We start from the raw sequence: 26,356 nt of genomic DNA, 5'->3' as shown, positions 1-26,356 counted from the left end.
AAACAGCACCCAAATAGTGTTTATGTTCTTTTGTGTTCAATTACCTTGGTACTTTGACAAGAGAGAGTAATTATTGTATCAGAAAAGTAGCCTTTTTCAACTTCAATATTTAGCCAATAGAAGTCCCCAACTTTATATAGCAGGTACTCAAATAACATTATTACATTCAGTGTCATTTTGTTATGATATTGATGAGGAAATAATTAATTCTTGGCTGAGGCTACTGTCTGAATAGAGTGCATATTCTCCCCATGTCTACCTGGGTTTTTCCAGGTACTCCAGTTTCCTCTTACATCCCAAGGTATACAAATTGGGTGAATTTGTGTGTCTAGATTGTCCCATCTGAGTGTCTGTAGGTGTATGTGTGAGTGCACCCCAAGATGAGTCAGTATCTGGTCCAGAGCTGGTGCCTGCCATGTACCCCAAGCTGCCTAGATGGGCTTAGGTGACCCTCAACCCTGAACTGGAGTAACTGGGTAAGTAATTATTATACTTGTTTTTATTAATCTTTCTTAAATGTATGTATACCTTACATTAGTTTCAATGTTTAATATTAAAAGTGTTTTGGGTCATTTTTTAGGGTTTGATGATTTTTTTGTGACCCAGATATGACATGAGAACTTAACTCTGATATATACCAATTGGCTTATGGTAAAATAGATTTTATTATAGTTTTCAAGAATCTGTCAACAATGTTAAGTGAGGAATTACTGTATTTATAATTTTAATTGGGGGAAATTCATTGTGTTAAATAGTGAAACATCATTCATAAATTTAGGCCAATTTTGCCTATTAGTTTGATATTTACAAAAAAGTATATAAAAGTATATATATTATGCACAAAATGCTCCATTACTTATCTTATTTGCATCTGAAATATTAAGATATTTCAGAAATATGAAGCTCCAAAACATTAGTTACTCCAATGAGGGAGATGAGAAAGAACCCTGAACAGGCATTTTTTTTTTTTTTTGCTTTCAAGTTTATATTTTAAATGAAAACACAAATAAACATTTGAAACACACACAAAAAAAAGAGACAGAAAAAAGAAAATGAGGCAATGGAGAAAAAAAGGAAAGGAAAGAAATAAATAGAAATAAAAAATAAGAAGACAGTGGAAGAAAGAAGAGGGAGAAGAGGTAGGGAAGGAAGAAAATTATGAGGGATTATAATAAAAATTATATTTCAATAGTGTCTAAGTTTATATGTGCCTCACTACTAAATAGAAACTCTAGAGAGTCATAGGAAACCCATTGGCTTAGAGGTAGATGTACTTCTTTTTTTATTACCGAATTTTCTAATTTTCTTAATCAGCATGTAATTTTTTGTGCATAAAGCCATTCTGGTATTTTGAAGAGCTTTATATAAGTATTTCTATTTTTTCCAGATTCTAAAATTTTACAAAAGCCTAGATTTTGCCACTTTTAAAACACTCAACACATTGTAAATTAATGCACCATTTTCTTGTTAAAATCAGCCTTGCATAAAATGATCTGTAGCTGAACAGGAGCAATAGCAAAGGTGTGAACTACTTCAAGGAAGTGCTAACTTCAGAGCCCAAATGAGAACATTTAAATGCTAAAATTTTTAGCAACAGCAAACAGATGTTTCTGCAAAATATCTTTTTTTTTCCTGTTTTCCAAACTCCTTTTTCTCCATACATTTACTTTTTCATTCTTCAAGCTTGGACTTTTCTGCCACTTTACCAATTTTCAGTGCCCATTCATCCTTGAAATGTTTCATTTTAACTTCTCCATCTCTCTTCCTCTGCAGTAATTGCAATGTAAGTTGGATGTATGGTTCTGCTCTAAAAAATGAATTCAGTATTAGTGACATGTACCAGGCTGATGGCACTGCAAACTGAAGGCCATTGTTTTAATCACAGCAACTCACACATCAAACAACACATATCACAGTTGCCTGAACAACTATTCTCAATTCTCAATGATTAACCCTTTGGCATAAAATTTAGTGTTAATTTTTAAAATGACTGCATGATATAGGTATATGCTTGACAATACATATTGTATTGATGATGACAATCAAATAGTCATTAGACACTATTGAATTTGAATGGCTCACAAAGGCAGAAGTCTACCTATTAATTGTAAATTCCAATTAAATTTGTGATTGCACAGAAATTAACTCTCAAAAAGAGCACAAACACGTGTCAAAGACAACTTAGATGATTCTAATATCATCATTAGCAAATTATATACTCTATAGCAAACATAAAGTTCTACTAATGTATCTCTTTAAATATAAATTGAAATAAAATTATCCTTTCTCATCCATAAGTGATTATTTGTATCGACAAGAAGTTAATAGAACTAAAATGGGCCTAAGTCTCAGGATGCCTGGATTTAAGTAAGGCACATCTTCTGAGTGAACTAAGTGTATGAACTTGTACAAATTTCTAAAGTTTTCTGGGCATTACTTCAGCCAACTGTAATGGTAAGGGAGGCGGAGCTTGCAGTGAGCCGAGATCGCGCCACTGCACTCCAGCCTGGGCGACAGAGCAAGACTCCGTCTCAAAACAAAAGCAAAAACAAAAACAAACACAAAACAAAACAAAACAAAAAAAGAGTGGTAAATAATCACAAAGATGCCATGCTGTCCTAATATTCTCTGACTAAAATGGCCATGGGCTTTGGTATCTGTAGCAAAATCCCTATGGATAATTAGAGAAATCTTGATAGTCTGTCTCAATATATCTTTAAAAGAATATGACCCTTTGTGAGTAGTTAGAATGAGGAACTTTCTCTGTGTTGTCATTTGATATAGCCCTGAACTGAGTCTCTTTCTAAATTATGATCACATCATAAAACTTCACCCCACCATTAGAGTTTACTTTGTACTTTAATGTGTTTTGCATATCAAGATTCTCCTTAGAAAGTAAATTACCTTAGGACATATCATACTTTATGTCCGCCATTAGCGAATATAGGAACGCAGATTGGTTTATAATCAAAACTTGCAAGATAGAACATAATATATACATAGGGCTAGAGCCTTGCCTTTAAGGAAGGGAAGGGGATCAAAGAAGGAAAGAACAATTCCTAGCTGCTAACTCAAGTGTTTGGTGGACTAAATAGATTACATTTATCAAGGATTAATGTGGTTATGAGATAACTTGAATTTTAATTATGTGAGGTAAACAATGACTGAAGGGAGATTTAATTTGAAGGGAAAAATAGTAGAGAATGGAGCTTGATATCATTAAATATTAGAATAACTATCATGAGATTGAGGGATTAATATCTAAGGATTATAATCGACACAAATGGGTAGAAATTACAGGAGGGAATTACAATGAAATGTTGGCATAAACTTCTTTATAGTTATTTGAAGACAGACTAGTGTTTATAAAGATAGCAGTGTCTTCATTCTTAGAAATTTTATATAAAGTTTGAAAAGTCATTGTCAGAATTTTTTGTAGACAAGATGCTTGCCTGAAATGAGCATTTCGATTAATATTCCATAAAAATAGTTTTTAACCTGGATCAAACTAATCATAACCCTTATTGGAGTATGATGTGGTAATTATAATTTAACATACTTTTACCTTTAATTTATAGTATTTTTTGCTAAACCATATCTCATAAATGAATTCCCAGCTTACCTATATGAAATACTGACTTTACCTTTATAGAAAGTTAAATTTAGTACAACCTTTGTCAGGAAAGCAATGTTCCTATTATAAATAAATATGAACTCTACTTGAATTATAGCAATTAATTATTTTAACAAACATAAGGGTGTACTATCATTGTTATTTTACAGATGAGAAAATATAGCATCAGAATTGAAATAACTTATCCAAGACTACAAATTTAGAAAACAGTTGTAGCCCAGTCTTTTATAACTTTAGAATCTTTGTCTGAAAATTCTTACCATTTCTTTCCTTATGATGTCAAATATGCATGGTGTTTCTTGAGCAAACTTTCAAGCAAAGATCTTTAAAAATAGAAGAGACAACAAGCTATCTAAAAGATTCAGTTACTTTTTTATATAAAAACACTGGGGTGGATAAATTATCCCTGAAATTTCTTTCTGCCTTTATGATGGTGAGATAAACTGAAAAAAAAATTAAATACAATGAAGAAATTTGCACACTGTTATTCGATGAAAAGGTTCTTGCAGTAACTTGTTATAGAAGTCTGTGAAAAGCAGAATTGATTTTTATCAGACTGATATTGCTCAGAGGAAATAGTCACTGCTTAACACAGAAGAATGAGCTAAATTGCCTCTAAGCTGCCTTCATCTATATGAATATAGAAGCCAAATTTTAACTACTTTTCCTGGAAAAGATACATATGATGAACATTAAAATAAAATACACATGGTCTTTTCAGAAATTTAACAATTTTCTTCAAGCCAGCAACTCTGCCAATTTGCTAAGAAACAAGAATTTTAAGAAATGTTAAGTTCTAAATACAAGGCTATGAGAAAAAGTCTAGCATTACCATACATATCTCAAGATGGTTTTGGATTGAGTATTTTAATTTTTTGAAATAGCCAACAGCTTGTTGGGAGATAACCTAAATTAAGAGTTGCTGCCATGAGAATAATTGCATTTTCCCACTCATTGACATTGTCTAACATTAAATCTGCATTCAATATGGACCAGTGAGATATGCAGTTTTAGTTATTTTTTTCTGATTATAGAAAAATAGTAGAAACTATTAAATGTAGACAGAAAAATTATACCCTCAATGGAATGAAGCACTAATAAATCACAGAGTAGTGTAGGCCTAGTTTCATCCACTTTTCAAATTTTTTGTTCTTTCACTAGTAGCTATTTCATATAAACCTTATGCTGTAATCACATTCAATAGAGTTTGGGGGACTATTGGATTAACTCAAGCTGTCTTTTCCAAAAAGTAAAACATAAAAATGCAGTGTCCATGGTCTTTAATAATTATGTGGTCAGATTCCACAAGTTAGGCCACTGAATTTCTCTTTCAATTTTCTTTGGTTTTCCTTTATATTATTGGAGAAAGTTCATATTGGCTTATAAATATGATTTGCAGGCACTGCAAAGCTCTTCAGTTTATTAAGGCTTTCTGGTAAATGCTCATGACTGACACTGGAAACTCATCATGTTGCTTCTTTCTGCTGCCTGAGTTCATGGAGATGTTCTGAGAGCATGGCATATACTTTCTGAACATTCCTAAGTGAAAGCTGCCTAAGCACCCTGAAGAAATACTTCCAAAATATTTTCTTTGTATGCTCTTCTTTCCTCCATTACTTTGTTTTGCATCTTAGAAATAGAACCAGTAAGTTGAAGCAGGAGAAAAAAATTGGAGATAACAATTTATATCACTCCTCTTCAAACTATGTAATGTGAATATTTAATATTTCCAGAATTCCTTAAAGTTAGAAAAAAATTAACTGGACAATCATATTATTGAAAAATCAGATAACTTCTTCCATCCTGCTTTAGTCACATTCAATAATAACTGAATACCTTCTTTTTCAAAATCTACAGTTTGAACTGAGATATTATGTCATTTAGGGGGTCAAGGCTGCAGTGAGCCGTGATCATGCCACTGCACTCCAACCAGGTCAACAGAGGACGACCCTGTCTCAAAAAAATGAATAAAATATAAAAATAAATAAATAAATATAAACAATGTTTTAATATATAATACATATTTGAATGTACCTTAGTGTTTTTCTTAGAATAAATATCAAATGATAATGCACAGTCTATAAATACATGACTGAATGCAGATAATGATAGTAATATCTTGATGGAGAAGAAATCACATTTTCTTTAAGCTTAACGTTTAAAAAACACAATTGTCCATCTAAAATTTAGAGAAAATAGAAACACTAGATAAATGTATACCATTAGAAGCTAAAGTCACTCTTTGGCTACTTAAAACAATGCCATAGATTCCAATAGCTGGACACATGTCAACAGAGACAAGGAACAGTTGATAATAGATGAGTCTCTCTATCCAGTTGTTTAGCATGTTAGATGAGAGCCACTTCATTGTAGGATATCATCTCTTGTTTATGTCATTCCTTCCTTCCTTTTTCCCTCAGTGCCTTTTCCCTTCCTTCTTTCCTTCCTTCCTTTCCTTCTTCATTGATGATAGCTATTTTATTACTAGGCCTTATACTAAGAAGCAAGATACAGTGGCAAATGCAATAGTTGTGACTCTGTTCTTCACAGAATTTAGAGTCTAAAGTGGGAGGCAGACAGCTATCAAATTTGCATACAAAAAACTCTACAATTTTGTACATTGTAAATTATATAATATTATGGTAAGTACGACAGAGCCAATGGCCAAATATTTTGAAATAGATTAATAGTAATAGCAAATACAGTAACAGCATTAGATAGGGTAAAAAAGGCTTCTCTAAGAAAGTAGCACTTAAATTGATACTTGAATAATGATGAATAGACATCCATAAAAAAGAATGTGGGTATGGGGGAGAATGATTCACGCAAGAGGACAACATAAACAAACAGAATCAAATACTCCAATAAGTGAAAGATGAGCAGTGTGGATAGATGGTTGTAAGAAGAAGAGTGAAATGACTTGAAGTTGCAGAAATAGGCATAGGCCCTATCAGGCAAGTCTTGCAATCTAAATTAAAGCATTTGAATTCTAGTCTAAGTGCAATGGAGAACAACTGAAATGCTAGGAAAAGGAGTTATAAGATCTATTTTATATTCATTTTAAATATCAATAAGTTTTGTACGGAAAGTGAGCAAGAATGAAAGGGAGAGACTAATTAGTGGCCTATTCAACTCATCCAGGTTGGTATCGGTGGCCAGGACTAGTAAAGCAGAGAGGAAACTGTGAAGAATGCAAGATCCATTTTAGAGGCACTTTGGCAGGATTAGTGATAAATGATATGGGTGTTTTTTTAAGAAGAAAGAGTAAATTCTTCAGTATGTAGCTTGTGTAACTCAGCAAAGCCATTCACTAAAATGAGGATGCCTGGTTGGGAGAGAGGCAAGTTGAACAGGGAAAATTAAAAATTTATTGTTGAGTATGTCAAATTTTAACATAGTTTTTTTGTTTCTTGGATTGTCTATACATTAAAAGGGAGACTTACATTGATGATATGCATTTAATTGGAATATAGTCTTGGGAAGGAAATGTTACTCTGTTAGCTTTCTTGGGCTGCCATAATAAATTACTATAAACTAGGGGACTCTAAAGAAACAGAAATTTATTCCCTCCCATCTTTGGAGGCTACATGTCCAAATTCAAGGAATTGGCAAGGCTGTGCTTCCTCTGAAGCCTCAAGTAGAAAGTCTTTCTTCCAGCTTCTGGTAGCACTAGATGTCCCTTGGTTTGTGGTAGCTTAACTACAATTTATTCCTCCATTCTTACATGGTCTGTGTGTTTCTGTGTCTTCATGTGACATTCTGCTCTATGTGTGTGTGTCTCTTTCCTTTTCTTGTGAGGACAGCACTAATATTGGATTAAGAGCCCACCTTACTCCAGTATGACCCCATCTTAATTATTAACATCGGCAGTGACACTACAGTGATGTTTCATTTAGTGATAGGGATACATTCTTAGAAATACAGTATTAGGTGATTTTTGTCATTGTGTGAACATGTTAAGTTCAGTATACAGTAACAGCATTAGATAGGGTAGTTAAAGAAGGCTTCTCTAAGAAAGTAGCACTTAAATTGAATACTTGAATAATGATGACAAGACATCCATGAAAAAGAATGATTGTGGGTATGGGGGAGAATGATTCACTCAAGAGAACAGCATAAACAAACAGAATCAAATACTCCAATATGTGAAAGATGAGCAGTGTGGATAGATGGTAGTGAGTAAGTAGAAGAGTGAATTGGCTCTTCTACAGTATAGTAGACTATAACGTCTATGTAGAGTCTACTTACATAGATGGTATAGTCTACTGCACACCTAGGCTGTATGGTATAGCCTATTGCTCCCAGGCTACAAACTTGTACAGCATGTTATTGTGCTGAATTCTGTAAGCAATTGTAACACAATGGTATTTGTGTCTCTAAACATAGGAAACATACAGTAAAAACATGGTATTATAATCTTAATGGACCACTGTTCTATATGAGATCTGTCATTGACCAAAATGTTGTTATGTGGTACACGATTTTATTTCCAAATAAGGCCACATTCTGAGGTACTGAGAGTCAGGGCTTCAACATTCTTTTCTGTGAGACACAATTCAACTCATAATAGAGCCACCTATCAAGAGAGCACAGAGAGAAAAGAAACAGAGCTTGGAAATGCACATTTGTGGAATTTCAATATATGGATTTCTTTTGGTGGAGACACTGATAAAGGTTGTGGAGTGTTAGCTAGAAGAAAGTCAGCCTGTATTTCCACCACATTAAAATAAGAGAATGATTTAAGGTAGGAATGGTAAAGAGCTTCAAGTCTATTGCAAGGAGTAAGAGGAAGGCAGTAATAGTCCTCAGCAAGAAATGTAACTCAACATTATTCAATAAAGCAAGAAAATGTGAAGTCTTTTAAAAAGATTAACAAAAAAATTATTATTAAAAATATTGTTATGTAATTTAGGTGTTGGTGTGCTCTGGACACTCAATAATGAGTAACAGCCGATTTCTAAGATTAAAGGGATCCTCTCTGGCTAATTAGTGCTCTGTTTTCTATGTATACTTTGGAATGGGGAAAGCCTCCATCCAGCTCACTCTGGAAGGAAATAAATTTGAACTTTGATTTTACATTATGAACAAAAATAAATTCTATCATCCCTAGTGACATAAATGTAGAAAATAAAGCAAATAAAAATGTGAAAATATAATATAAAAGCTTAACTTTATAATCTAGAGATTGAGGATTAAAAAAATACTGAAATGTTGAAAATTATATAAGAAAATATGGAAATATTTGAATATGTAAAAGGTATCCAAAATATGGCAAGAGATGTAAACAGCATCAAGAGTCAAAAAATTTGCCTTAGTATTTCTAATGCTAAAACTTACAATACATAAGAATTTCTACTAAACTAATTTTACAGTGATAAAAAATGAAAGGCTTAGAGCAGGAGTGGTATAAGGCCGAGAAAACAAGACAAATATGTATATTTTAAAAGTAATATCACGTTATTTTATATAAGTAAAAGCGTGTGTGTAGTATACATGCATATATATCTATAGAAAGAGAAACAGACAATTATAGTCTATGAATAGTACTTAATTTAGGGCAATAAGAACTTAAGTTTACTTTCTTTAACATATTAATATATGCAATTTGAAAATAAAGCAGAGAAAAGCAATACATGTTTTGTTGTGAAAAACTGAGCAGATCTAGCTTTTCCAGGTATTTTGTGGGGTGTTCAGTTCACTCTATCTTGTACTAGTTTTTTTTAATCTGCTAAACATTCATGACCATTCTCTGAGCTAGGGTTTAAAAATGAAAACTTTACTTGCTCTTATGAGACTTGTATTCTAATGGATAAAATAGATGGGAAAACAAACGCATTATTTTCTACTGTAATAAGCACCATAGGCCGGGTGCGGTGGCTCATGCCTGTAATCCCAGCACTTTGGGAGGCTGAGGCGGGCGGATCACCTAAGGTCAGGAGATCGAGACCATCCTGGCTAGCATGGTGAAACCCCCTCTCTACTAAAAATACAGAAAATTAGCCGGGCGTGGTGGCAGGCAACTACAAGTTGCTTGTAGTCCCAGCAACTTGGAGGTTGAGGCAGGAGAATGGCGTGAACCCGGGAGGCAGAGCTTGCAGTGAGCCGAGATTGTGCCACTGCTCTCCAGCCTGGGTGACAGAGAGAAACTCCATCTCAAAAAAAAATAAATAAAATAAATTAAAAAAAACCACCATAATGTGAATCAAGAACTTTAAAGATAAAGATTTTTTTATAACTCTCTTCTATCTTTTTTCAACTCACACACATTTTGGTCCTAGACAATTTTTATTTCTAAACTGCAAATCTTGTCTTAAAGTTAATAAAACAGGGAAATGTACAGGATATTTAAAGCTTGGATTAATAAATGAAAGCAGTAATAAGAATTAACTTTCATAAACGTGAATAAAACATGGAGATCACAAAAAGGTACGTATTTTAATTAATATATGCATTTTTCACTGTATTAAAAATGTAACTCCATGTTTCTCATGGTAGTGCATAAATATGGCTCAATTTAGTAATGATAAGATGTAACTCATTATAAGACAGGTCAGTGCAATGTTCTATGGAACCCAAGTTACAGTGTATGTCATTTATGTGCCTTGTTTGGGAGAGGAATAGCTCAAATTAGTTCCATAAGCAAATTGGGAAATTTCTCTAGCTCTCCAAAACTACCAAATGAAGAACGATATTCTACAGCATTGCTTTCTCTGTATTATATGCAATGAAATAAGCATAAAATTAATAAAAAACCATGACAAATATGGTTTCACGTTTATTCGGTATAGTTCTAAAATACTCCACAAGAAGATCTATGGAACTGAGGAAGTGGAAAATATTCTCCCATCACGTTCTTGCACTCTCTACATAAAGCTGGTTTGAAGGAGGAATTGCTCAGTAAATAGTTTCTACAGAAGCAGTTTAACCAGTTTCCTAGGGAGCATAGTTGCTTAGGAAACTCAGATATACTATGGCACAGAGGCTGTGACAAGACACCTGCTGGTGTACACAGTTTCAAGCTGCCATTTTTACCCATTTCTTCTCTCTCTCCTGGCTGTGCTCTCATATGGCAGAAGCGCAAAGTTGGGAAACCAGTGCAATTCTTGGCGCTGGGTGGCAGAAATAAAATTGCTCATCGGTTTACTATAAAGACCACCTTTGGTGGATAAATTTGTTTTTGAGAGTAGATTAGGCAACATGTTTTCTACCCTGCAAACACTTTCCATTGATCATTGGGATAATCTCTGAGGAATCAGCATAATTATATTCTTTGGAAGCCCTGGCACATTAAGAAATGGTAATTGAATTTCATGAGAGCCATTTTCAAATCTCTGCTCATTTGAGAAAATAAAATCAAGGGCGTAGGTATATAAGGTATATGATAAACCTCAGGCTAGTCAACTAAAAAGAAACATGTGTTTCCTTTGAAATATATAAGTCATAAATATAAAATATATGTCAGGGTACTCCTTTGAGATATTTCAGCCAACAAATAATTCTGGTGTTAAGTAACTTTTTATTTTTATATAAAATAAAAGTTGCGTAAGCATCAAGTTTTATATGTTTTTATCCTTCTATCTATATAAATAAATGGGCTTTATAATGGCTTTTGTAGATTGGCACCTCATTTTTAGCTGATATCCTTTTAAAATGTGAAATAATGATGGTAATGTGAGAACGTGTGCTGGAAACGTGACTTGTGGTCTCTGACACCAGGCTGCCACATTTAGCAGCTGTTCAGTAGACATGAGGAACTAAGCAACAGAACACAAGCCATTGGACTGGGGACCCCTAGATGACACAGCATTATAAAAAGAGACAAAAAAATAAACTTTTCAATTAACCAAGGGCAATCCCTTAGGTCTGAGGCTCAGCGTTATCCATGGCTTCTGCATTCTGTCTGTGAAGCTCTTAGAGACAGGCAATCACAACTTTGTCTGGCAAATGTTCTATGGTAGCAGATTATAGTAAAATTAGTGATATTTCAGCAGTCAACAATCTCAGATATTGAGAGAGTAGAAGAGAGAGAAAGAGTGGCCTAAAAACTGAGTTCACATTACTACAGAGTTAAAGTGGAGTTTAAATAGTTTTACTTAATGTTTAAATTTCCAATTAATTTTGTGTGCTTTGAAAGTTAATGGAATCCTGAGACCCTATTGTTACCACACTACTTGATTAGGATCCCATCAAACTTCTGATTTGCGTCTTCTTTTTATATTGAGGTTTCCCTGCACATAAAACACTCATGGGCATTTCCATCTTTCTAAAAAAAAAAAGCAAAGTTCTTACAGTGGCCTACATGCCCCTCGGCAATCTGGCCTCTCTTTCCCACCTCCCCTTTGCACCCTGCCCTGGCCTCCGCACTCTTTCCTTGTGTGCTCTGCGTGTTCCTGCCTCAGATCCTTTGCCTTTTTATTCTTTCTGTCTTGAAAACTCATCCCCAAATAGTTGATGGTTCACTTCCTCAGTTCCTTCAGGATGGTGTTGAAATGTCATCTTCTTAAGAATGCCTTTTTTTATTCCCTTGTCTAGATGCCAGTCCTCAGCCCTTTTTTTATCCCTTTTATCTCCCTTTACCTTTCTAATCATTTTCTTCTTAGCATGCATCATTACATGACATACACGCTTATTATTTTGTTCAATTTACCAAACAGAATATAAGTTGCAAGAAGTCAGAGGCTCTTTATCTTATCCACTGCTGTACTCTAAACATCCAGAAAACTTCCTGGAACCTAGCAGATGATCAAAATATTAGTGGTTTGGATGAATGAAGAGATCTCTATAAGTAACAAGCAGGATATTGTTCATAATCCTCTGGAGTTACCTTAGATAACCTACTTACTTTCTCAGATTTTCTTGCTGTCTCTTTTCATGAAAGAGAGCAGAGAACCGACTTCAAAGTATTCCTCAATAACAGATATTCATCTTTCAAGTGACCCCCCCATTGTATTAAAAAAGACAGTTTATCGATCCTTCTTGAGTACTTTAAAATTAAACATATGCAACTCTTTGTCTTATTAATTGACATCGAGGCCTTAAGGGAAAAAAGTGCTGAAAATAACCAAAGCATGCTAATCTATGTGTAATAGTCTATGCTATGGGACACGGTCTGCTTTGGTTGTTTGCTACTTTTAAAAATCAGTTGTTAGAAACAAATATATTACTCTTGTAATGATTTAAACAATACTAAATATGAGGTGGGGGGCGGAGGATAAAGTTTCTTGTCTTAGCTTGAATTTCCTCAAACATAGACTTGAGATGAGGCATTGTGTGCAAATAGTTTGAGAAGGGATGCCAGGGTGCAGAAGGGAAGAACTAGGGAGAGTGAGGCAGGGAGGAAGGAAACAACAATACCAACGTGCATTTTTTAATTTACTGTTATGGGCAACAGATGCTTCTAGGAAGCATATAGGATGCTTTTCAAGATTGTCCAATCCAATAATTTATTCATTAGCTTTCACTTCAATTGATCAAAAATTGCTTCTTCAGAGTGTTTATTCCTGTCTTTTTGAGTTGCACTTTCTGTGGGCCCTTCCTGCTTTGTCCTTGGCGGAAATCATGGGGGAGGGATGGAGGATGGACAGCTGGGATATTAGTAATAAAGGGATGAAAAGCGCACCCTGAACTCAATCCATATGCACCCTGCATTAAATCTTCTCAGTTACTTAGTCTTCATGGTCTCTACAAATGACGTAATATGCAGCGGTCAGCGAAATAAGCTACAGAAGCTACAATCATCTTTACTCCAACTAGCCCCCAGGTTGTTAGTGATATTTTTCAACTCACATTTCTACCACCAATTCTAGATATGCCAGCCCTTCAAGCAGCATTTCATCTGGTCTTCGTTGCTTGCCTGATGGAGTGATCCAGATCTTCATCTCTGAGAAGTCCAAGCCCTTGAGATCCTTAACCCTAACTTCAATTGCTCCAGCTGTTTTTCCCTATGATGCTAGGCATGGAAGACGACCAGAGGCCCAAGAGGATGTTCCCATGTCAACACATACTCCCTGCCACTATTATGTAATAGAGAACCCTGTTCTACTGTGTTCCCTACTACAAATGTTCTCACCTCTCATGCCTCAGAAACCAAGACATCTAATCCATCAGAGCCTAAGATTTCAGAGGAAGGAAGCATAAATTCCTCACAGGTGACTGGCAGTGGTGGTGAGAAAGGCCATTCTTCTTTCATCAATGAGCTTGTATGTTCTACCATTTGATTCAAATTTCATATTTCAAGAAATCATTTCAATGCATACACTGTATTCTTGCAGACAACACTGCAACCCTGAGGAGTGTTGGACATGGTACCATAGTTGAGTCTTTAATAAGACGTCCCATTATACCATTAGCCTGGTAATTCTGGATAATATGACCTGGGATAGAATCAGTGGATCTCATAATCATGTTCTCATTGTCACCCTGTCTTTTATATAAAATGGATCTTTTAAACTGAAATGTTGTCACATGTTATAAATCTTAGATGTTGGTGTTGTCAGTAAAACTATAGGCAGGGAAGGAAAATCAGTAATAAAGTAAGAGCTAATTCTGTTTTGGATGAAATGCTTCCCTCCAGGATACAAGGACTGGAAATAATTACCTTCTCATGAGCAACTGAATTAGTCTCCTTGGAGCCATTAGCACCATTTCACGGGCTCAGCATTGATATCTGTTTTGTAAACTTCAGACTTTCAAACATGAGTGGAAGATAGATCTTGTTTTCCGAAAAGAAGCTTAAACCACTGGACCCATGCATAGCTTTTCTTTCTACTGTCACACTTATTGTATTCATGGCTTCTTCCACAAACACTGGTAGTCAAGAACATAAGATGGCTGATGCCCACTTAATGGGCCATCCTGTCTATATGGTGTTTTTTTTTTGTTTTTTTTTTTAGATGAAATCTTGCTCTTGTTCCCCAGGATGGAGTGCAATGGCGTGATCTCGGCTCACTGCAACCTCCGCCTCCTGAGTTCAAGTGCTTCTCCTGCCTCAGCCTCCCGAGTAGCTGGGATTACAGGTGCTTGCCACCACATCTGGCTAATTTTTGTATTTTTAGTAGAGATGGGGTTTCACCATGTTGGCCAGGCTGGTCTCATACTCCTGACCTCAGGTGATCCACCCACCTCAGCCTCCCAAAGTGCTGTGATTACAGGCATGAGCCACCGCACCCTGCCAGTCTATATGGTTTTTGAATGTGTCCTGTGTGATGTATAAACTGTAGTGGTCATTAACCTGAGGCACAAAAATCTTTTTTTTTTTTTTTTGAGATGGAGTCTTGCTCTAATGCCTAGGCTAGTGTGCAGTGGCGCAATCTCGGCTCACTGCAACCTCTGCCTCCTAGGTTCGAGCAATTCTCCTGCCTCAGCCTCCCATATAGCTGGGAATACAGGCATGTGCCACCACGTCTGGCTAATTTTTGTGTTTTTAGTAGAGACAGGGTCTTGCCATGTTGGCCAGGCTTGTCTTGAACTTGTGACCTCAGGTGATCCGCCCCCCCTTGGCCTCCCAAAGTGTTAGGATTACAGGCATAAGCCACTGCTTCCAGCCTTGAGGCACAAAAATCTTAACCAGCATAAATCTGAGTACCGCTCCTCCAGGCCTCTTTGATTGTAAATTCCTCATCTCATTCCTTTCAAGGCCCTCACCAATTGGCTAGACAATTGAGTGACCAAGTTACTCCTCCAAGGTCTGCTCACAATGAGGATTCCCCTTGACACCAGCCTTTAGTGTCACTTCTTGTTGTGTGTTGAATTGTGTCTCCCCAAATTATTAGCTTGGTGCAAAAGTTATTGCAGTTTTTTCAATTACTTTCAATGACAAAAACCACAATTACTTTTGCACCAACCTATATATGCTGAAGTTGTAACTCTTGGGACCTGTGAATGTGACCCTAATCCAGTAACTGGTGTCTTTATAAAAGAAAGGAAAGAAAGGGTTGGATATGGAGACACACACAGGTATAACGCCATGTGACAACAGAGGCAGAGATTGGAGCAATGTAGCTGTAAGACAAGACATGCCAAGGATTTCTGACAGCCTCCAGAAGCCAGGATGAGGCAAGGAACCCTTGTTTTCTACAGATTTCAGAGGGAGAATGGCCCTGCTGATTACTTGATTTCAGAGATCTGGCTTCCAGAACAGTGAGAAAATAAATTTCTGCTGTTTCAAACCACCCAGACTATGGTACATTTTTACAAAAGCACTAGCAAACAAATAAACTCCTCATTGTTCTGTCTTGACGTGGTTTTACATTTTCAGCTTGTATTAATTTATCAGGCCAACCCATTTGTGAACTAAGCTTCTGTCAGCCATAAGGCCAGAGATATGAGCTGAGAAAGAGACTTTGTTCAACAGTACTGGGCTACCTGCTTATGTAACTTACTTGTGCCCTCTAGATGTTCTCTGGCCAGTTCCAGAAAGTATCATTTTAATTGCACAATGGATTACCTCTATGGCCACCTTACCTTATGATTTGGTAATGTTATAATACCAAGATAATGATGGGGATAGTCAAGTCATTGCCCAATATCTGGTGTTGGGCAGGGTTGCAGCCAATAGTCTGATTACATACTCACTTGCTTTTTCGTGATCAGGAATTTATTCACACAGCAGGAACTATTTTAAACACAAAGAATAATTATCTGTGACTGAAGACACGGCCTTGCTACAGTACGCTAGCATGAGTTGCAGCCTCAAATTGGAGCTTTCCAGAGACCTTATATAGCTTCTCTGTCTAATATAGATACCTTTAGCATCATTGCAAATACTGAGTCATGCAACCAAACTCAGGGCATCTTGTACAATATCTTAAAACTGTTTGCAAAGCCTTCTCTGCTTCTTGAGCTAAATTTTACTAAAAAGGATTTTTTTTAATCCTTTAAAGTCAAGAATTTATTCTTTTTCTAGAGCTCCATGCCTCTATATAGAAAACAGACCTATGAAAAGCTTCATTCATTGGGCAGTTTGGATTTTCAGGGTTAAGTTTCTTTCTCCCATTTTTCTAATTTTGCAGGCATGTGGGTCTATTCAAGTCAGGGCCTTCTTTGTAGATTACGCTATCTGTAGCCATTAGTTGTCTGATCACAGGTGTCCCAAAATACTGCTGAGAGATAGGGGACATTTTGCTGATTAGGAGTCCCATTCAACTTTTGATCATAATTCAGGAGCTCCGGTCAGACTTTTTCTGAATTTGTTGTTATACAGAGTATGTAAAAGCTGTTAATAAAGTGGTAGCTTAATTCATTCTCTGTAAATATTCCTTTTGAGTAAATCTCCATCCAGAGAAAGATGTTCTTGCATCTATGGACATAAACACCATAAAATCCCAAGAAAAGTGAAACTTTATCTTTAACAATGGAGTTCTATCTTCTCTTTCAAGATAAGTAAATGTCTAAAGTACTCTAAAGAGATGTATATGGTTTCCTGCAACAACTAGTTTTTTATCATGTAAATATATATATCATGTATAATCTGTATGTATATATATCATATATAATCATATATAATCTGTATATGTATATGAGGCAAATATTACATATTTGGTATCATTTCTCAGAAGAAAACCTTGAGGACTTTTTTTATAATTAGTTTTGAATTTGTAGTATATTAAATGCATTCATTTTGGCGACATGTTTTCCAAAAATTTCTGAAGTAATGATGAATAATTAAGTTCATATATGTATATGTTGGCATGGTTCCACTCTGAAAGGCAAATATGTATGACATGGAGGTTATATATATAAATGTACATATATATGTATACAATGTATACAAATATATGTATACAATGTATACAAATATATGTATACAATGTATACAAATATATGTGTACAATGTATACAAATATATGTATACATATATGTATATGTGTAAAAATAAATATATATTTATATTTATAATCCTTCATTAATCTACTAATTTGCCATTTAATGTCCCAGGGGTATTAGTTTAAATTCTCTAGCCCTAAGCAAATTTGCAGAAAAGGCTTCATTTCCTTTTATTAAGAAAAAGCATTTTTTTAAATTCCCATTTAATTCTTAGTCTTTTCATTCATATCTGCCCCAGCACAGTGCAACCCTCATGTCATATGTGCTTGCTGTTCAGAGTGGAATTATGCCAACAAATACTTATATGGACTTAAAGTTTCATCATTACTTCAGAGATTTTTGGGAAACATGCCCCCAAAATGAATGCATTTGGTATAATACAAAGTCAAAACTAATTATGAAAAAATTTTTCCTCAAGGTTTTTTTCTGAGAAATGATACCAAAAAATGCAATATTTGCTTCCAATCTATTTCTGCATATCACATTAAAATGCAAAACAAATATGTCTGTCATTTGTTAGTAAGAATCCCATGTTTTCTTCTAGAGTATGTAGGCAGTAGTTGGGCAAGGTGTGATGTTTCTAGAGTTTAAAAATAATGTTGCAAAAATTTCATGATGTAAGCTTTTAGGTTGAAAAAAGTATGAGCCTTCAATTTGGTTTTTAAATCATAATGAAGTATAGTTTCTTTTTGAATACTTTTCTCAATAATTTTCTATATAAATTGTATATATTTTAGCATTTTGGTTTTAGGTCACTTTCTTCATGTTTATTTTTCATCTCTTTTTATCTTTATTGCTGTCACCAGAAAATGTATTTCAAGTAGAGGGAAGGGTGTGGGGTACTTTTTGTCTTCAAATTCTCACCTTTGTCTTCCTTTCTCTCTCCCTTTACTTCCACCCCCCTTCATTTCTCTATTTAATTCTCTTAAAACACTATTTTTTATTGATTTTCATTTTTGTGCTATCTAGGTACCACTCAAAGACCAAAAGCCTTCTCAACCAAACTCAACATCTTTTTCTTACCACGTCAAATATTTTTTAAACCAAATTCCTCTTTGCTCATTAATTTAAAAATAGAACATTAGTTTGTTTTTATCCTAAGGACACACGACACCTATACATACTGCTTGCTTTACTTATAGCTATATATTTTGAATGTAATAAAATATGCTTTTACATGTTTCTGATTCTCAGTTCCAGAGATCCAACTCATTTACACCCAAGAGTTCCATTAAGATCTTTAGAACAGTTTACTTGGTATATTCCAAGGAAATTGCTATAACCACATGTTCATCCACACACACAGGTACACTGCTAATATATGTAACTACAAATTGCATTTTCTAGCTTGCTATTACTAACTTGACTGTAATAGGCAAGATTCTCTAATGGCCTCCCAAATTTTCATCCCTGGGCATCTTGTATAGTCCCCTTCCCTTGAGTATGGACTTAACTGATGGATGAGATATCTCTCCCTTCATAAAGCTACTAATTAATTGATTTTGAGTTAATCAAAAGGAAAATAATCTTGGATGGGGTCAACATAGCCAGGTAAGACTTTAAAAAAAAGGTGAGACATTAGAGAGATGCTTCCCTGCTGCCTTTGAATACACAGCCTCCATGAGTTCTGCAGCTGTGAGGAGTTGAATTCTTTTAACAATCAGAAAACTGGAAGAGGACCCTGAGCCTCGGATAAGCCCCCAATCTTGGCTGAAACCTTGATGCAGCTGTTTGGGAAACAAAGTAGAGAATACCACAAAGCCTTGCAAAAACTTCCAACATACAGAACTTTGAGATGTGAAAGGATGTTGTTTTAAGCCGCTCAATTTGTGGCAATTTGTTATACATCAATGAAAAATGAGCACACTGAACTGTGGAAGGAAGAAGCTCACAGATACATATGACTATATTTTTTCAACATTCTAACTAAATTGATTTCCGTTAAAAAAGCAATTATTAAAATATTAATCGCAGTTAAAGTATTAATAGTAATAGCAGTTGTAATATATGGAATGCATTAGTTTTTTATATATGTTGCCTCATATAATTGCTACAAAAACTCTATGAGGGAGGCATTAGACATCTAAATCTATAAGCCGTACAGGGAGGCTTAGGGAATTTAGGCGTCTTATTAAAAGTGGCAAAGCTAGTGTGTGGCTTGCTGACTGGGAGGTGTGTGGAAAATCCCTCAGACAGACAAAAACCCTTTTCTGTGGTTTCCAAGTCCATAGTATTTCCACTTGAGTACATTACATTTCATTATTTATAGGAAATTACATACAAGTTGTCCTCTCTTGCACTGAGTTGCTAAGATCAATAAAGTAGTTACCTATAATGAAAGACCTTAAAATTGAGTAGAGGAAGCAGATATGAATTCAATAATATTTTCCAAGGTCTAAAATGAAGTAAATGCTATATTTTGGGGTTATATGCTGGTGGGATTAGAAACTACTTAGAGAAGCCATGGCAACTGAGTTAAGCCTTAAATACTCCGAATGATATTTCAGGTAGGAAAAATTGGAGCAGCGATCATTTGGGTGAAGAAATGAAATGCTGCATTAGAAATGATGAATGTACAGAATATGTTCACAGAATGTTCAGTAGACAGGAGCAGAGGGGAGTCAAAGATAGAAATGAGCTTTATTTCCTCAATGCTTGCTTCCTGCATTGTTTACATGTTCTCTTCATTTGCCTTGCTGTTTCTCTCTTTCAATCTTCTTGCTCATTATTCTAACTGTCTTTTTGCATAGTAATCTGAAAATTTTTGAAACTTGTGTCAGCATAGCATTTTAGAAAGTGCCTAAGTGAAATCTTTATTTTAAGATCCAGTTGCACACACACATTTTTTACTTTACTGTCAGACTCATAGCTGATGCTCAACACATATGTCATTTATTTTCCTTTTGTCCTTGATATGTAAAGGTAGTTTTTGAGTGTTTTTCTTGATTCTTAGTGGTACAAGGCATACTTCTAGTATAAGAAAAAAGAAATAAACAAGTTTGGCAAGGATACTGATCTTGTATGGAAATGATGGTAGTTGGGGGCAAAACCTGAAAAAAATATATGTATCGGGAAAAAGTAAGTGAAGAAAATGTGCCAAATAATAGTAAATCCTAGACAGAGAATGAAACAGAGTGATATACTAAGAAGTAACTGAGGAGACAATGTCAGAGCAGGTAGTTAGAGAAGGGCTTTTTAAAAAGATAGCCCCTGAGAATGTACGTGGCCATTTCTCTGATCCACCAAACATATAGACTAGAAGGAGCTGTCTCTGGTCAGAAAGATCTTTTGTTTAATTAAGTAAAGCTTTTAATAGAAGGAAAATATTATAGGAAAACCCTACTTCTAAGAAAAAAATTATTTCTAATATTATATAAGAAATATAGTATTTCTAATAATATAATGTACTATTTCAAATATGTAATAAGAGAAAGCTAAAGATAAAATGTTACAGAAGTCCCTGTTAATACATTATAGAAAGAAAAGCTTCCTAAAATAAATATATGATCATAGACAAGCAGAGGAAATTTATCGAATTCATTTTCCTGTTGTATTCATATTATCAATAACAAATAAACTAGAGGTGAACTGAAAGGCACCTATGAAATTTTCCAAAATTATTGTCCAGAGATTTGTATAATTCAAACACTTTATATGGAGGAGGTGTCATTTTTGCACAGAGTTTAATTTTACAAACTCAGTCATGTATCCTTTTTATGTTTTTTTTTCTTTTTTATCCTTAGTAGAAAAAAAATGAAAGAGTAAAATGCCCCTCACAAGACAGTTAATCACTTCACTTGTGGGAAAAGTCAGAGTACTACACATCTTGTGGCAACTGAGAAGAATGCAGGATAGGCTATTTTTGTGCTCACTAGAGAAATATAAATCTTTTGAAATTTTCCCACTTATCATTTCTTGTATTCTATCTATTTGGTATATTAAATTCATATATAATAAACTTGAAAACCACTCATTTTACATGAAACTAATTATGCTCTGTAAAGACCCAGAGGACAGATTCACCCTGACAGAGTACTTTCTATACCATTTACTTGTAGCTTGCACATAGAGTGCAATGTCTCAGCTGGAATCACATGTGCAGCTAGTGACTGACACTAACTCACCAGCTGCTATTTCTTAGGTTGATGTTTATTTAATCCTTTTTCAAGATGTATGAAAAATGCTTCTCAGTTTTATACGGATTAAAGGAAGCATAGATTTAAAAATGATAATTTATATACCCTCAGAATAATAACTGATTTCACAGTTCATTAATTCAATTGATGAACAACAATAAAAGAGAAATGCTGCAAAAGACAAATGTGTGAAAGGTGGGAGAGAGAGTATATAATTTTACTCACTCAATACTCAAAAGAAATACATGATTAAATGCACCTTAAATAAAATGGCAAATTCACTGTAGAAAATAATTAACATTAATTAAGATTCCATTTAAAAAACTTACTTCAGATATGAAATTGAATAGGTAGTTTTTTGGAAGGATGGAATTCTAATATAATTTCAGATGTAAATTTTGTTGTTGAAAATAAAATCTGTTTTATGTAATCAATTACACAGAGTTTGTTTTCCTTCTGTGTTTGTCTTTGATAGTTTCAGAAAAGAAAAATGACATATGAACTATATGCTTTTGGATTTTATAATCAGAATGACAGCATTTAGTCAAAATGCTTAAATGTTTATTTCTCTATGTGTCCCCTTCAGTGAAATTTTTAAAAATCTAGTTTATATTAATGGAGGATATGGCACATTTTTCAAAAACTGTTGTCCAAATAAAACATTTTTCATTATATATATGTATAAATATATATATATATACATATGATGAATACACATATATATGTGTGTGTATGTGCGTATCATAGTTAGAATAGAGAAAATATATGTTAAATAATTTCTGCATGTCATTGCTTTATTGTTTTGTAAATCATCACTAGTCTAAACAAATCTAATGGTATTGGTGGATTTAATTGTATGTGGTATACATGTATATACGGTAATTATTAAGTATCATATTTGAGAATGCCATATGATTTTAGTTTTGTTTGTTGACAAAGTATTAAAAATTCCTTTTGTTAAGTTGCATGTGAATATGTAAATAAAATTCCTACTCTAATAGACCCAGAAAAATGAAATAAAAGGAATATTCCTATTTTTCTCATCATGAGAAGAAAATTTTGAAATTACTTTGCAAACGCCAGCCAAAAAGGAGCCACATATAAGGTAGTCCAACATATGATTATCTTATCATTACTCTACATTAAGAAAAGCAGTCTCATAATCAGATCTTTATTATTTCCAAATGAATGTTTAAAAGCATAAAATGAGTTTATTTTGAAGGTTAACTATACATAAGTCTGAACGTTTGTTGTACACAAACAGAGATTAAAGATGGAGGCTCTGCCCCACCAAGGCTTCGGAATTAATATAACATGACCAGTGTAGTAGCAGATCCAATGAGTCACTGCCTACTCTGAATAAATGCTCAAAGCAGCTAAAGAGAAACTGCCAAGGTCAAAGCTCAGTGCTATTTCAGACAGATGTTATTCTCTATACAGCAGTCACTCTCTCTTTCTGCTTCCAAAAGGAACTGGTGCACTGCAGGCACTCAGGATGAATCTGCCAGATTTAATAATGATCAAGAACACTCTTAAATAAATGTCTCCAGAAAGAGAAGCAATTGGAAAATTTAAAAGTAAGGACTACTTGAACTGTGGCTCACTGCAGAAAGTGCACCTTTCTTGTCTCATTTCAGAACAAAAGTACCAAAGAAGAATATAGAAAAAGTACATGGAGATACCCTCCTTGAAGCCGAAGGATCAACACTCACCTGCAGAAACCATACAGAAAATGTTCTGGGGAAATGCAAACGTGGATAGAAGCAAGTTTCTTTGGGTCAATATTCATTGGTGGAGATTTCTTTTCATTTTGGTACAACTATAAAGCACATATTACAGTATTCTAAAATTTAGAGTGAAACATTTAACAAAGCTACGATGTTGAAGGGAAAGTAGGAGACAAATATATTTAGTACAAGATTTGAGTACTTTATAGTACTAATGTTTGCAATTTTTTTTTGTTACTATGTTCTTATCTTCTTTTGAGATTGTAAGGTGTATTCTTATCTTTGGCTCTCTTTTAGCCTTTACATAAAACGTTTTCAAGTGAAAAATGTGGCACTTCATGCATTTGAGGGCTATAAATAAAATATTTCATTGCAACAGAATTAATGGAATTTAAAAAAAAAACTTCTCAAGCAGTGAAAGTTAATCAGGAAACACCCTAAGTGTAGGCAACAAAGTTAACACCTCGCTACTTTTCATTACCACAAAAGCTACCACTTCTCAGAGTGATTTTCATGCAACATTATTAATTTAACAGTGTCCGCGATAGATGTAAATATTTTATCAAGTACAATTTTAATCACATCAGTCATTTGTAGCTTACAAGATATTTATAAACTAATTAAAAAGTAAAATCACAGGCATCTGAAACAATAGGCATGTTGTAGTTCGTCTTTATGTGTAACAAATCATCCCAGAATTGTGTAACGCGCATTGACTTTTCATTGAATGCAGGTTGACCATAAAAATGGGTCATGGCTTTGAACATAGTGGCTCTCTTCTAAAAGGAAATTTCCACGTAGGCAATCAGATGAGAGCTGTCAGCTTCCCACAACCCAGCAGCTGTGGGAATGATTGCTTCATTTTTGAAAGGGGTGGGAGTCGATCAGGGTGTTGCACAACAGTATCTTCTTTCACTTCATCTTAAATTCATTTCAAATCCCTCTGCTTCTCTTCAGTCTCACCCCACCATTCTAATCACATCTCACCTGATTATTGCAAGGGCTCTCTATTGTTCTCAGTCTATTTTTTAACATTGCATTGAGTGTTAATCTTGTAAATAAAAACTGTTTTCCTATCTTACACATTCTTCATCCCTCCAATATATTCTCATTGCTCATATGTAAAGTAAAATATTCTATGACTTTCTATTAACAAGACTCATAATGGCATTGCCCTTTTTTTTTTTTAACTATTACATACTCTTCTTTACTCTCACACTTTTCCTTACTCTTTATCTCCAACTGAATGGGTTGTTAAAAGTTCTTCTAACAGACCTTGAGATTTTCACATCAGGGGTTTTAGATTTTCTGTTTCTTCAGTGTAAACACTTTCCAACTTCTACTTTCCTCCTCTTTTGCATAGTAAATGCTGACTAATCTTTGGAAATCCACTTAAATAATGCTTCCAGATTTGCTTGGGTATGCATAACATATTTTTCTACAGCCAGGTCATCAGTAGAATGTTGAACATTATAATACTAAAGATAGAGCCATGAAAAACTTTCTGCAAATTGATATTGATATATAATCTCACATTGTTTTTGACCCCAATGCCAGGTACTGTGCCCGACATCATGTAAATTTTCAATAAATATTTATGAGTAAGTTAATAGGCCAGATAACAATGAACTTACTTTTAAGAAATCTTCAGTTTATATCTGTTCATTTTATCTCAGTAACATAATAACAGATGTCATCAAATGCCTGGAAAATTTTCACATATCTTGTATCTGAGATAAGGGTTCTCAACCATATGCATGATTTTTCTCCCGAGGGGAGAAAAAAAAAAACAGGTTTTCACAAATCAATTAGAGAGGTAAGGAGGGAAGGACTGAGGCCAAGCAGCAGCTTAACATCCGACAGTATGCAGGCAGACCCCTCCCACCAACAAAAAATTATCCAGCCCAAGATTTCTACAATGACAATATTGAGAAAAGTGAAACTCTATCACTGCCCCAATTAACTAATTTGACAAGTACAGAAAAGAAGGAAAGAAGGAAGGAAGGAAGGAAGGAAGAAAAAATGAAAGAAAGCAAGGAAAAAAGAAAATGACATGTGCTTATTGAGATTTGTTCTTTGCGATTTATACATATATATATATATAAAATATATATATATTTTATTATACTTTAATTTCTAGGTTACATTTTATCCTGGCTCTTAACAACGGCTTCCTCCTTCCTTTTTCTAAATTCTTACAGGTATTTACTTCATAAAACCTTCTTAAACCACGTCTGCTGTTTTCCACAAATATGTCAGCCTGACAGATTTTAGGACTGTGTTATTTTCAATATAGTTCTTCAGACATCATTAGCTGCAGTTCAGTGATATCAGTGCACATCTTACTGTACTTCTGTAAGTAATTTGTCTGACTCGAGACTCCCAAAGTTATGTAGATTACTTAGGTGCTCACTTGTTATCTCCTAGTGTATTTTGGACTTTGATTATCTTCTATCAAAGATGGTTCTGCCCTCTCTCATCTGATAATGATTAGACTTGAAAGGGAAGTCAGAAGAGGTGAATTTCTCATTGATTTCTGAATTTGATGGACACTTTCAAGTATCTGTACTTGTCTATGTTGTTTCTTCAGATTTCAAAGATATTTCTTCTTACTTATTATAAAGGTACTTCCTTACCATACAGTCTTCCTTAACCATAAAACGATTACTCTTAATTCTATATCCAAGCACCATATTGTATTCTGGATTTTATTTCTCACACAGCCAAACACAGTTTCTTACACAGTATTTTATAGTATTACCAGAATCAAGGAAGCAAAGAATCAGAGACTCTAAAGAAAATTTACCTATATATATTTTGAGTTTGTGAATATGTCTAATCATACTTTATTTGTACTTTATTATTTCCAACTGTTAGTTCCCTTTAAAACAATAAAATATAATTTAATTATATTCTTATGATTTCTTCATTTTATTTAGTAAATTATTTGACTTTTTATTCATATTTATTCTATTAATGTGAAATATTTTATAAGCAGTGATTTATTTATGCTTCTTAAATATGTAATTCTCCTC

General features: G+C 34.3%; 2 long non-coding RNA genes across 2 annotated transcripts in view; one reads left to right on the top strand and one right to left on the bottom strand.

Moving 5' to 3' along the window:
* Nucleotides 1-1,444: 1,444 nt before the first annotated feature.
* LINC01052 (long intergenic non-protein coding RNA 1052) lies at nt 1,445-13,617 on the bottom strand. The gene is made up of 3 exons (NR_132362.1): nt 13,421-13,617; nt 3,895-3,957; nt 1,445-1,807 (listed from the first exon to the last, which is right to left on the bottom strand). It is a non-coding gene; the product is annotated as a long intergenic non-protein coding RNA 1052 (long non-coding RNA).
* A 95-nt stretch (nt 13,618-13,712) lies between these two features.
* The window catches only part of LOC105370241 (uncharacterized), a 30,064-nt gene continuing 17,420 nt past the window's right edge, over nt 13,713-26,356 (top strand). Inside the window, exon 1 of the long non-coding RNA XR_942031.1 lies at nt 13,713-13,833. This is a non-coding gene — a long non-coding RNA (uncharacterized LOC105370241). The remainder of the gene's footprint in view (nt 13,834-26,356) is intronic.

This window comes from Homo sapiens, chromosome 13 (assembly GCF_000001405.40).
Source record: "Homo sapiens chromosome 13, GRCh38.p14 Primary Assembly".
NCBI lineage: Eukaryota > Metazoa > Chordata > Mammalia > Primates > Hominidae > Homo > Homo sapiens.
This window is presented reverse-complemented; position numbering and strand designations above follow the sequence as displayed.